The sequence below is a fragment of the Homo sapiens genome, chromosome 11 (genome assembly GCF_000001405.40).
Source record: "Homo sapiens chromosome 11, GRCh38.p14 Primary Assembly".
Classification (NCBI taxonomy): Eukaryota; Metazoa; Chordata; class Mammalia; order Primates; family Hominidae; genus Homo; species Homo sapiens.
The window spans coordinates 5,843,721-5,858,164 of record NC_000011.10 but is presented as its reverse complement, the minus strand read 5'-3'; the positions used below and the strand labels follow the sequence as shown (position 1 = coordinate 5,858,164).

The following is a 14,444-nucleotide window of genomic DNA, read 5'->3' as shown; positions in this document are numbered from 1 at the left end:
AAATGCATAACAACACAGAAACGGTTTTACACACTACATTTTTGATTCCCAAATAGAGGAATAGTTGAGATTACAAATACCTTGATCGTGAAGCAAAAATATGTGTAACATTTCTATAGACACTGACCCTGGAACTTTATTTTTCTCATTTAGTTCTGGCTAAATTCCAGATTTTGCATTTTTATTTGGCAGATGACATTCTTCTGCCATTTCTTTTTATATTAGTCTTTGATATTAGGTGAAGGGGCAGTAGAATAAGACTGGTTCTATTCCTGGTACCAATGTTGCTCAGGAGAGGCTAGGAGAAATTGTGGAGAGTATTTTACCTTACTCATGAATATATATAAAGAAAGATTAATATGTTATTGTGAATTTGACTAGAAATCTGAACAAAAGAAGAAGTGGAACAAGAATTACTAATAGGAATATTATAATCGTCGCTGGTGTGCCCAGCAGCTTTATATGGCAGGAAGAATGTCTACGTCTAATCACACCCAGTTCCATCCTTCTTCATTCCTACTGCTGGGTATCCCAGGGCTAGAAGATGTGCACATTTGGATTGGAGTCCCTTTTTTCTTTGTGTATCTTGTTGCACTCCTGGGAAACACTGCTCTCTTGTTTGTGATCCAGACTGAGCAGAGTCTCCATGAGCCTATGTACTACTTCCTGGCCATGTTGGATTCCATTGACCTGGGCTTGTCTACAGCCACCATCCCCAAAATGTTGGGCATCTTCTGGTTCAATACCAAAGAAATATCTTTTGGAGGCTGCCTTTCTCACATGTTCTTCATCCATTTCTTCACTGCTATGGAGAGCATTGTGTTGGTGGCCATGGCCTTTGACCGCTACATTGCCATTTGCAAACCTCTTCGGTACACCATGATCCTCACCAGCAAAATCATCAGCCTCATTGCAGGCATTGCTGTCCTGAGGAGCCTGTACATGGTTGTTCCACTGGTGTTTCTCCTTCTGAGGCTGCCCTTCTGTGGGCATCGTATCATCCCTCATACTTATTGTGAGCACATGGGCATTGCCCGTCTGGCCTGTGCCAGCATCAAAGTCAACATTAGGTTTGGCCTTGGCAACATATCTCTCTTGTTACTGGATGTTATCCTTATTATTCTCTCCTATGTCAGGATCCTGTATGCTGTCTTCTGCCTGCCCTCCTGGGAAGCTCGACTCAAAGCTCTCAACACCTGTGGTTCTCATATTGGTGTTATCTTAGCCTTTTTTACACCAGCATTTTTTTCATTCTTGACACATCGTTTTGGCCATAATATCCCACAGTATATACATATTATATTAGCCAACCTGTATGTGGTTGTCCCACCAGCCCTCAATCCTGTAATCTATGGAGTCAGGACAAAGCAGATTCGAGAGAGAGTGCTGAGGATTTTTCTCAAGACCAATCACTAACCAGTTGGAGGTTGGAGAGTCTGTCACTCTAACCTAATAGAAAGCAGAAAAACAGAAGGGAATGCTGCAGCCAATAACATTATTTATCTGTTAACTGAAGCTTTTGACTTTAATTATAATAATGAGAATTTTACCCTTGTCGAACTCTCCTTTTCCAAGTTCTTTTATTTCTATTGCTGGATCCTCAAGGCAGTTTTATAAAGTATGTATTAGTTTTTCCATTCTTGTGATTAATATACTTATGTTCGGAAAAGTTGAGTGATTTACTCAAACTACATGTTTAATAGGAAGTAGTAATTTAAGCCAAATAGACTGCCTTATAGTTTTCTTTAGTATGTTTAAGAAATAACAGAATACGGAATAAAATTCTTACTTTAAAAAGATAATAAACAGAATAAGTGGCTTCTAGAATTCTTAAAATAATAATAATAGCTTACTCTAGTAATAATATTAACATACCATAGATGCAGTGTAGATATATGGGTATTGACAGGTATACCACACATGAATATACTCATATCATGCCCACCATAATCTTATTCAATAGTTACTATAATTTCCCTCATGCACCTAGAGATGCAAGCATAGTCATAAAATTAGATATTAAAGGAAAAAGGAAATAATGCAGCATGAGCATGACATATACATTCGTAAATATTTCATTCATTTGCTTGTTTAATTATTTAAATAATATTTACATAATATATTTTTACATATATGAATATATGTGCGTGTGCGTGTGCATACTTCTACTATGTTTCATGTGTGGGTTTATGAGCTGTAGGAACATTCGAAGACACAGTGTATTGTCTTTAAGTACTTATATACTTTGAGAAAAAAGAAATAATAAGTTGTTTCTAAAGTAGTGTTGAGACATATTTTTTTTTTCTTCAGGAGATTTGGAAATTGTGTGGCTATTAGCAGTTTCATTCATAATGAAATTTATAATCCCTTAAAAAACTTGGAGGAAGATAATTGCAGGAAGAACACCTTGAATGTAAGTTCTTTATTGCTGCTCTGCCTGCCATTTATACAGTTAAGATATAGGATTAGGCAGTAGACCACAACAAGTGGCATGTGCAGACTATAAAGCAAAGACACTTAAATTTAGCTGTGATTCAATGATCTCCTATAGAAAGCAGCCCTTAGGTCAATCACTGGGTGAACAGATAGGAGCAGAATGCGCTCTGTGGAAATTAAGGGTTTAGGACCAGAGTCTACCATTTTCTTATGGGAGATTCCAGAGAGTGATGACATGGAGGATCTCCCTCTCTTGGCTTCAGGCGAGGTTCTACTTGTCGTATAAATCTTTCCTCCTCAGGGTCACAGCCCTGCAACTGGGCAGGTGTTTACTGGTAGAATGTAGGATGGAAGGCTGTGGAAGTACTTGATGGTTTCTTTCTTGGAGAAGATTCTCTGGCCATGGCAAGACAGTTGAGTGTATTCTAAAGACATCTCAGTAGACAAGGTAGGGCCGGAAAAATTTAGGTAGGGCTCAGGACTGAGGGAGTAGGAGCAACTAGGGAGGAGAGAAGCAGCACCAAGGAATATGGGTAGAGAGAAAGTGAGATATTCTGGATGAAATTTAAAAGGATTATAAGAGTGAAATGGTAGATACGTATTCTTTTACAATCACTTTCAGAGAAATCTCCCAGATAAACAAAATATATATTCATTTTTCTGTTGTTTCTGTATCTTTCCTGGGTTTGCTTTGTCTTCCTGTGTCTGGATAAATAGTTTTAATCATTTAAAAATGTGTATGTGTTTGTGTTTATATGTTCATAGAAAGGAAATGATAGAAGGCAATTTAATTTACCAGTATGGATTGAATAATTGGATATATCAGTTTGAATGTATTGATTGAACCAGCACTTTCTAAATAGTGATAGGCAAGACTTTTTCTAGATTTTATTCCAGGGACGCAAGGATGGCTCAAGATACACAAATCAATAAATGTGATTCACCATATAAGGAGAATTAAAAACAAAAAACATGATCATCTCAATAGATGTAGAGAATATTACATAAAATTCAGCGTCCCTTCAAGATAAAAACTTTCAACAAAATAGGCATTGCAGGAACCTTTCTCCAAATAGTAAGATCCATATATAACAAACTCAGCCAATATCATATTGAATGGGTAAAAGTTGAAAACATTCTCCCTACAAACCAGAACAAGACAAGATGCCCACTTTTAGTCTTCCTTTCAACACACTACTGAAAGCACTATTCAGAGCAAACAGGCAAGAGAAAGAAATAAAAGGCATCAAAATTGGAAAAGAGGAAGTCAAATTCTCTGTTTGCTAATAATATAATGTTATGTTTAGAAAATTTTAATGACTCCTCCAAAATACTCTTAGATTTGATAAATAAATTCAGTAAGGTTTCAGGATAGAAAATGAATGTTCAAAAACCAGGAGCTCCTTGGGAAATCTTTCCACAGTGCCTGAAATAATTTACATTCTCACCAACAGTGTATAAGCATTCCGTTTTCTCTGAAGCCTCTCCAGGTTTTTGATTTTTTAATAATAGCCATTTTGACTGGTATGAGATGGTATCTCATTGTGGTTTTGATTTGTTTTCTCTGATGATTGGTGATGCTGAGCATTTTTCATATGTTTGTTTGTCTCTTTTATGCCTTCTTTTGCGAAGTGTCTGTTTATGTCCTCTGCCCATTTTTTAATGGGATTATTTGTTACTTATTGATTTGTTTAAATTTCCTGTGGAATCTGGATACTAGACTTTCATCAGATGCTTAGTTTTCAGAGATTTTCTCCCTTTCCTTAGGTTGTCTGTTTGCTCTGTTGATAGTTTCTTTTGCTGTGCAGAAATTTTTTATTTTAATTAGGTCCCACTTGTCAATTTTTATTTTTGTTGCAATAGCTTTTTGGGACTTACCCAAAAATTCTTTGCCAAGGCCAATGTTGAGAAGAGTATTTTCTAGCTTTTTGTCTAGAACTTTTATGGTTTGAGGTCTTACCATGAATCTTTAATTCATCTTGAGTTAATTTTTACACACAGTGAAAGGTAAGGATCTAGTTTTATTCCTCTACTTATGGAAATAAATACAAACTAGGTATCTGAGCACCATTTATTGAATAAGGAATTCTTTCCCCACTCCTCATTTTGTTGGCCCTGTCAAAAATCAGGTGGTTGTACATGGCAGCTTTATTTCTGAGTTTTCTAGTTTGTTCCGTTGTCCTTTGTATCTGCTTTATACCAGTGCCATGCTGTTTTGATTACTGTAGCCTCATAGTATAGTTTGAAGTGGTGTGACACCTCCAGTTTTGTTCTTATTGCTTAAGATTGGTTTGTCTATTTGGGTTCATTTTTGATTCCATATGAATTTTAGAATAGTTTTCTAATTCTATGAGAAATGCCATTTGTATTTTGATAGGAATAATGTTGAATCTATAAATTGCTTTGGGCAGTAGGGTCATTTTGATGATATTGATTTTTCCAATCCATTTTTCCAATCTAGCATGAGAGCATAGGATCTTTTTTCATTGATTTGTTTTGCTTCTGATTTTCTTCCATGCTGTTTTGTAATTCCTATTGTAGACATCTTCCACCTCCTTGGTTAACTGTATTCCTAGGTATTTCATTTTGTTTGTGGCTATTGTAATTGGGATTGTGTTCTTGATTTGATTCTCAGTCTGAACATTATTTTTATATAGAAATGCTACTGATTTTTGTATATGGATTTTATATCCTGGAACCCTGATAAAATGGGTTCTCAGTTCTAGCACCCTTTTGTCAGAACCTTAAGGGTTTTCTATGTATAGAATCATATCATCTGCAAAGAGAGATAGTTTTCTTCAAACAGAGCTACCATTTAACCTGGTGGTCCTACTACTGGATATATACCCAAAGGAATATAGCTCATTATACCAAAAATACACAAACACTCATATGTTCATCACTGTGCTGTTCACAATAGCAAAGACATAGAATCAACCTAAGTGCCCATCAGTGGTGGAGTGGATAAAGAAAATGTGTTACATATAAACTACGGAATACTAAGCAACCATAAAAAGAATGAAATCATATGAATGAAATCAACATGGATGGAGCTGGAGGCCATTATCCTAAGGAAATTAATGTAGGAACAGAAAACCAAATACTGCATGTTCTCACATGTGAGAGCTGAACACTGAGCAGACATGCTCATGAACATGGGAACAACAGACACAGAGGACTACTAGAGGGAGGAGGGAAGGAGGGGGTCATCAGCTGAAAAACTACCTATTGAGTACTATGCTTACTACCTGGGTCCAATATACCCAGGTAACAATGTGCATTCTGTATCTAAAATAAAAGTTTTTTTTTAAATAAAAGATAGCAAAGATTAGTAGCATTCCTATACACCAATAACATTCAAGCTGAGAACTAAATCACAAAGTCAGTTCCACTTACAATAGCTTAACAAACACTTAGGAGTATATTAAACCAAGGAGATGAAAGATCCTTACAAGAAAAACTACAAAGCACTGATGAAGTAAGTTACAGATGACACAAACAAATGGAAAAATAATCCTATGTTCATAGATTAGAAGAATTAATATTGTTAAAATGACTGCACTGCCCAAAGCAATCTACAGATTCAATGCAATTCCAATCAAAGTACCAACATCTTTTTTTCACAGAATTAGAAAAGAAAATCCTAATATTCATATGGAACCAAAAAAAGCTCATATAGACAAAGCAATCCTAAATGAAAAGAAGAAAGTTGCAGGCATCACATTACTTGGCTTCAAATTATACTACAAAGCTATAGTAACCAAAACAGCATGATACTGATATAAAAAAAGACATAGATTAGTGAAAAAGAACAGAGGACCCAGGCATAAAGACACATACCTCCAGCCAAATGATCTTTGACAAAGTTGACAAGAACATACCTTGAAGAAAGGACACTTTCTTCGTAAATGGTGCTGGGAAAACTGGATTGCCACATACAGAAGAATGCAATTTGATCACTATCGCTCACTGTATATAAAAATTTACTCAAGTTACATTACATACTTAAATTTAAGACCTGAAGTTATAAAAATTCTAGAAGAAAACCTAAGAAAACTTTTCTGGACATTGGCCTAAGCGAAGAATTCATAACTAAGACCTCAGAAGCAAATGCAGTAAAACCAAAAGTAGATAAATGGGACTTAATTGCAGTTAAAAAGCTTCTGCAGAGCAAAAGAAATAATCAACAGAGCAAACAGACAACCCTAAGAAAGGGAGAAAATATTTGTGAACTATGCATCTGACAAGGGACTAATATCCAGGATATACATGGAACTCAAACAATCCAACAGCAACAACCCAAAAACCAAGTAACACCACTAAAAGGTGGGCAAAGAACATGACAGATATTTTTTAAAAGAAGACATACAAATAGCCAACAAGCATATAAAAAATGTTTAACATCAGAGAAATGCAAATTAAAACCACAATGAGATACCATGCCACACCAGTCAGAGTAGTTAGTATTTAAAAAGCCAAAAAATAACTGATGTTGGCAAGCATGCAGAGAAAAGATAACACTTGCGCAATGTTGGTGGGAATGTAAATTAGCACAACCTCTATGGAAAACTGTATGGAGATTTCTCAAAAACTGAAAATAGAACTACTATTTGACTCAGCAATCCCAATACTGGGTATATACCCAAAGGAAAAGAATTTCTTACATTTAAAAGATATTTGCACTTGTATTTTTAACTCAGCACTGTGTACAACAGCACAGATATGGAATTGACCTAAGTGTCCATCATTGGATGATTGAATAAAGAAAAAGTGGTATGTATATGTAAACCATGGAATACTATGCAGCCACAAAAAGAATGATATCACATCTTTTGTAGCAACACAGATGAAACTAGAGGTCCTTATTTTAAGGGACTAACTCAGAAACAGCAAGTCAAATGCTGCATATTCTCATTTGTAAGTGGGACATAAATAATGTCTACACATGGCATAGAGTGTGGAATAATAGACATTGGAGACTTGAAAGGATAGGAGAGTGGAAGGGGGGTAAGGAATGAGAAATTACTTAATGGGTACAATGTGCACTATTTGGGTGATAGTTACACTAAAAGCCCAGATTTCACCATGTAATATATCTATGTATCAAAACTGCATTTTTACTCCCTAAATTTACACAAAAATGTATTCTAATTTCTTTTTCATTGCTTATTTTAAGTCATCAGTTATTTTCAACTGTGCATTTAACTTACAGATAAATAAGTTAGTGGGGTTGGATTTTATTGTTGATTTCAAATGTTATTTATATTTATCATTTGGTATGTGTAGCTGTCTCTTTTTGTGTGGCTTTAAGAAATGGTCATTTAACAATATTCTAGATGTGTTAAAAGGTAACATGCATTTTCCAATTAGTTTTTAAATGTACATTCTCTTTATTTTACTTACTTTTGTGTACTTAGTTTATTTCTAGAAGTGTTGAGTTAAAATCTCTCTATATAAATTTTGATATATCAATTACATTTTTATTTCAATTACCTGTTGTTACAATTATTTTGAAGTTATATTTCAAGGTGGGTAATATTCTTGATTCTCATCTATCCTTCCCTAAGAATTCTTCGAATTCTGTTGTTTTGTAACAAGTGTACTGGTGTAACACCTTTTTTACATTTTTCAATTTGCCCTGTATGTTTTACAAAGTAAATATATTTAACAGTGTTTGTAATTTAAAAACTATTCATAAAAATTTGTCATACATAGAACAGAGAACACACACATAGCCAGTCAATAACTGTAAATATTTTCTTACATGTTCACACATATGCAAAAACACAACTTATTAGAATATTTTAAGATAAATTACAGATGTCAAAACAATGCACCATAATACTAAGTATACTTATCCAAAAATATAAATTTTTGCAATATAACCATTAATCTCTGCTGTATGTGTCCCTGTATGTGCATGTCTCTTTGTGTGTCTGGGTGAAATTGTGGAAGGAACCACATCACTTTTTCTATTCTGTTCTCTAGTCTATTTTACTTTATTCTATTCTACTATATATTATTTTATTATATATGAATTAAGCACATTTTGTTGAGACCACTTCATATGCAGCACTCTGAACTTTTTATTGTCTCACATTAGGATGTACAGAATGCTCAGTTATTCCCAGAATGATGCTAGGTGGAATTAATGATACAGGAAGTAACAATGAGACTTCTCATTTGTAAAGTTAAATTTTACCTGCACCCACTTCCTTATATGATTATCAGTGTCCTGTGAGTGGCCAAGTTTGTTTCATACTGTTAGACAAAATTTATTTAGAGATAAAATAGAGACAGGAAAGAGAGGATATAGTCTTATAAGGCATAACTTCATGTAAAAGCATAGTAAGTACAGAAAACATTCAAAACACAAATATTCAGTTCAATAAATTTCCACAGGGTGATAAAATCTATGATATCACAATCAAAATTTAGAAACAGAATATATTTTAATGTTTAATTTTATGTGTCAAGTTGACTGAGCTATAGCAGGCTCAGATATTAATAACTGGGTGTGTTGGTGAGGATATTTTGGATGACATTAACATTTGAAATGTAGACTGAGTAAAGCTGATTGCCTTACCTACTGTGGTTGGGCCTCATCCAATCCATTGCAGGCTTGAATAGAGTATGATGTTGAATATTAAAGAATGTTTTCAGCCAAACTGTCTTTGAGCTGCGCCATCAGTCTTCTGCTTTTAAGCTCAGACTTGGACTGGAACTTACACCACTGACTCTCCTTGCTCTCAGGCCAATGAACTCGAACTTGCACCATGCATCTACTGATTTATGTGTATTTTATTTGCAGTCTCTACCTGCCAAGTAAATAACCACTATTTAAATTTTTCATCACTATCAAATAGTTTTACCTGGTTTTAATTTTATATAAATGGAAACATTACTGAATTGTCACATTTATATCTGGCCTTTAAAAATTTAAACACATTTTTGTATGTCTTCATTATATGTAGCAGTGGCTTCCTTATTTTCACTGCTGTATGTTATTCTGTCATGTGAATGCACCACAGTTTCTTTCTCTGTTCCACCAACATTACAGTTGTTCCCACTTTGGGCCTTTGATAAACAGCCACTAAAATGGCACCCACTGATTCTTACCTCCTGATATGGATGTCCTTGTGTCATCCCCTCCCCTTGGGGGTGGGTTTAATTAGGTATTTCTTTCTAGCAATGTGAATAGGGAGAGGTGATGAGATGCCACGTCTTGATTTAGATTTTCACAAGACTACGTCTTTTGAGTTCCTTCTTTTTTTTTTTTTAATTTTACTTTAAGTTCTGGGATACATGTGCAGAACGTGCAAGTTTGTTACATAGGTATACATGTGCCATGGTGGTTTGCTGCACCTATTAACCCGTCATCTAGGTTTTAAGACTTGCATGCATTAGGTATTTGTCCTAATGTTCTCCCTCCCAGGAGGGGAGGCCTCCCTAAGACAGGCCCCGGTATGTGATGTTACCTTCTCTGTGTCCATGTGTTCTCATTGTTCAACTCCCACTTATGAATGAGAACATGCGGTCTTTGGTTTTCCCTGTGTTAGTTTCCTGAGAATGATGGTTTCCAGCTTCATCCATGTCCCTGCAAAGGACATGAACTCATTCTTTTTTTATGGCTGCATAGTATTCTGTGGTATATATGTGCTACATTTTCTTTTCATCATCACTGGTCATTAGAGAAAAGTGAATTGAGTGTGTTTTTATTAGCTCTCTCAGGCTCTTACTCTGAGAAGAACTAACTGTTAGCTGCTTCCTGGAGATACCCATAAGCCAAAAAAAAAAAAAAAAAAAAAACCTATATACCACAAGCCAACAACCAGATGGGTCTGAGGCCTTTCAGTGGCTGTGTGACTGACTTGGAAGTGCATGTCTACAGTGGAGCCATGAGACAACTGCAGCCCTTGTTGTTTCATATCTCTTACTTTTTGATGTATTTATTATTGTGCTTTTTAAAAGGACTAAGACCACCAATACAACTAGAAATAAAAGTGGTAATAATTGATATGTCTATTTTATCTCTCATCCATGGGGAATATATTTTAAAATCTTTTCAAAGTATGATATTTGCTGTGGCATCTTAGAAACATAGGCACTGTGCAGATTTTATACTTATTCTTATAGTTTGTTGGTAAAAGTGTTTTCCTAGGAATTTAAAAATTGATGTCAAGTAGCAAATTTGTTTAAATAAAATTATTCATAACATCAAGGTCACCGCATGTTCTCACTCATAGGTGGGAATTGAACAATGAGACCACATGGACACAGGAAGGGGAACATCACACACCGGGGCCTGTTGTGGGGTGGGGGGAAGGGGGAGGGATAGCATTAGGAGATATACCTAATGTTAAATGACGAGTTAATGGGTGCAGCACACCAACATGGCACATGTATACATATGTAACAAACCGGCATGTTGTGCACATGTACCCTAAAACTTAAAGTATAATAAAAAAAATTAAGGTTATAATTTGTATTTTGAAATCACTTTATTTTTTTTCAAAATGGATATTGCTAAGCCTTGTGAAATTTTAATTTTTTTGAAAATCAATGCTGTACCTTTTTGAGACTTTTTATTTTATGTTTCTTTCTACCACATTATTTTATTAACTATTTTACTATTTTCTTATCTTTGTATTTTATTTACCATTTCATTCTGATCAGTTAAAGTCAACATTGGATGACTTATTTTCAGCATTTCTTATTTCCAAATGTATGCATTTATGAGCTTCCTCTTTCTTTTACATGCAGCTGTAGTTTCCTAGGCAAGCTTTAGGAACCAACACTATCTGAACATGGAATGTGTACTTGTACTGTCACCAGTGAGTTATGTGAATACATAAAAGACTTGTCTTTCACAGAAATCTGTTAAGGACACCATGTTTTGAAGGAGTGAAGGATTGATACGGTGATCTGCAAGAGAAGTCATGAGAGAGAATGAAAAAAGTGTCTTGAAAGCATCTGTTTACATTGTACTATGACAAAAGAGGGCCATTAAGGCACTGAGGGGACAGCACCTAGTAAGAGTGTGTTCCAATGAGTTTAGGCTTCTCCTTTTGGATTTATTATTTATTTAGTAGGGAAGTATTAATTATGCAGCCACTACATTACAGACACTACCCTAATGACTTGGAATATAACCATGAAAAACAGGCATAGTCTCTGCCTTCATGAGATGAATATACTTACAAAATGAGAGAAAAACCAATGAATACAATATAATTTCAAGTAGGTATAAATGTTAGGAACCAAGGTAAAGCAAGCTAAGAAAATAGAGTTGGAAGAATGACCCTTTTAAATTCATTGGCCAGAAAATTCTTGTTTGAGTCCTAGATATTTGAGGAGGGATAAATGAAGTAAGGGAACAAAACTTTGGAAGATATCAGAGAACAATATTCCAGGTCTTATGAGTAGGAAAGGCAAAATCCCTGGGATAAAAGTGAGCTTAGAATTGAGAAATGGCACAAAGTACATGCCTGGAGTGGAGGGAAGAAAGGAGTGAGTGGCAAGAGATGGGTTTGAGGAGTAATTCCAGGGCAACCAACCTTGGTAAGAAGTTTTTATCAAATACTATGAATACAGAAGGAAAAGGGACGAATGTATTAGTAAAGTTTTATTCCATGAAGTACATTTATCAGGAGGTGGTTTGCATTGTAAACTTGCACTTTTTATATGGATTACAGAAAAAGATTGTAGATTAATGCTTCAAGATACATGAGAGTGGAAGTGAGAGGCAAGTACAGAGGGAGAAGAGAGAAAGAGAGCAAGTGAGAGGAGAGAGATAGAGAGAGAGAGATTGAGAAGAGAGAGTGAGAAAAAGAGAGGATTGATTTATAAAGTAATGAAGAGTACAGGATTGGATCTGAGCCAATAAATCAGGCATTCACCAGGGGATTGAAATTAAGTTTAAAAAGAAGAAATCATACAAATTCTTGTTGGTAAAAAATGTGAATTATTTGAACCAATGAAGAATTTTTTTTCTCTAGTCTGTGAAGGGGGAAAGGGACTGCAAAACAAAACAAATTTGCAGTGCCTTTTAAGTAAACCATGCCAATGTGTCATAGATACAGCAGTTCCTATCCCAAAGGAATCAAAGTTTTAGTGAAAACATAAATGCCTTCTCTTCAGCATGTTAAATTGTGCACTCATGCAGAAGCCAAATGGTGTTCAAAATAATGCTTCTTAGAGATTTAGAGATCAAGATAAGTCATATCAACATTCAGCTGCAAAATGCAAGAGAAGAGATGAGGAAAGGCTTATGTCAAACTTATAAGGAGAGATAGAGGACAGAGTATGGACAGAGAAAGCACAATCATACTCATGACCTCTCAAGACTACACATGCTTTTGCACATTCACATATACCTGTGATCCTGCAAAATTTCACACATGAAACCAACAAGACTTCAAAGCTGATGAGGAAGGTAATGTAGCGATATATCCTATAGCTCTTGTTTCTGAACCTTATGTACGGGAGCTCAAATGTGATAGTAAGAGGGCAAGATTTTTTTTCCTGGTTTTATAGGATAGTAATAGGTACAGTAAAGGTAATCAGTAAATATGTCTTTAATAATTACATTTTTGAAGAAATGAATTGTGAAGCATGGGCCTGAGGAATAGAGTCTTTCAAAAAGATAATCCAAAGTTAAGGTGACAAAGAAGCTGATAAAGGAAATGAGGTTTGATGCGGGAGTGACGGGCATAAGACTGGGAGATTAAGCAGTTATAAAATTAAAACATGCATATTTTCTCTTCTGCTTACCCTCATCTGACATGGGACATGAAATGAGGTGTGTATGAAGACTTTGTGAGGGTTATTGGATTAAGGTGCAGTAAAAATAAGTAAGGTTTCAGAAAATGTCTACCAGATATAATTCTATGAAAACCTTAGTTTTAGAAGGTCAAACAAAGGTGCTGGGACCTAGTTTTATTTCTGAACCCAACACAGATTGGAGACTGTACAAATGTGTGTTGGAATAATAGGTCAGCGTACAGTCATAGACTAAGAGACTAGATGTTTTGAGAAATGTTTGTAGACTTGGAAATGATGTTTTCTCAAATAAAAGTCCCAGTTATAAAACTCATTTGGGAAAATCCACAAAATACATGTGATAAATTGATTTTCATAATATATAGCCTTATTTTATCTTTACAAATTTCTGTTGTACCAAGAGTGACTAAGATACCAGATATTTCTTAGGACATAGAAGTGCATACACAGAGTTCAGTGGACATTTTACTGTGTCACTGTAAAAAGCAATGCAGAGGACCAAGATTCCAGGATTTTGTCCTGGCTGGACAATATGTTTCTTTTCCTCACTTTGTCCTTGTATTTTCCTCCATAGAAAATTATATATATATAAAAAAAAATAGATAATAAAATATATAATATATAAATATATATTATATAAAAATATATAAAATATATATTATATATAATATATATATAAATATATATAATATAATATAATATATATAATATATAATATATATAATATATAATATATATTATATATAAAAATATATATATAAATATATATTATATATAAAATATATATATTAAGGATTTTCTCTTTAAGTCACAGCCAAAGCCCAACTTCTTCCCTGGAATTTTCATTGCCCCATCTCTACACCTACAACATTTGATGGGTGTTTTTATCATAGTACTTGCAATGCAGCTTTCAAATTTCTTCTTTGGAATTGTGTCTCTGTCTGCACTGTGGTCTTTTTGAGAGTGTTTGACAGGTATTATTCAAATGAATGCTGGCTGGCAAATATAGGACCTCTTAGATATTTGATGGAATAAATTGTGAAGTGTACCCTTCTACATCCCTCATGTATTATTCACTAATGGGGAAAGAAAGAATTGTGTCTTTATCTTTGACTTTCCTATTACAGATCTGAGAACTTTAAAGCTATTCTCAACAGCCTCAATAACCATGTATATATTCTCCTTCTTGAGGTAATTTCCCCAATTTTCTCCCATTTCTGCTAGCC

At 34.7% G+C, this 14,444-nt stretch overlaps 1 protein-coding gene across 1 annotated transcript; it reads left to right on the top strand.

The window, feature by feature from the left end:
- Positions 1-474: 474 nt before the first annotated feature.
- OR52E8 (olfactory receptor family 52 subfamily E member 8) lies at positions 475-1,416 on the top strand. Its single transcript, NM_001005168.3, has one exon. It carries the CDS (start codon positions 475-477, stop codon positions 1,414-1,416), a length of 942 nt encoding a protein of 313 aa, NP_001005168.2.
- The last annotated feature ends 13,028 nt before the right edge of the window (positions 1,417-14,444 follow it).

Excerpts from the sequence above, each read along its gene's own strand:
- OR52E8 (NM_001005168.3), top strand. The coding sequence starts at position 475 with ATGTCTACGTCTAATCACACCCAGTTCCATCCTTCTTCATTCCTACTG.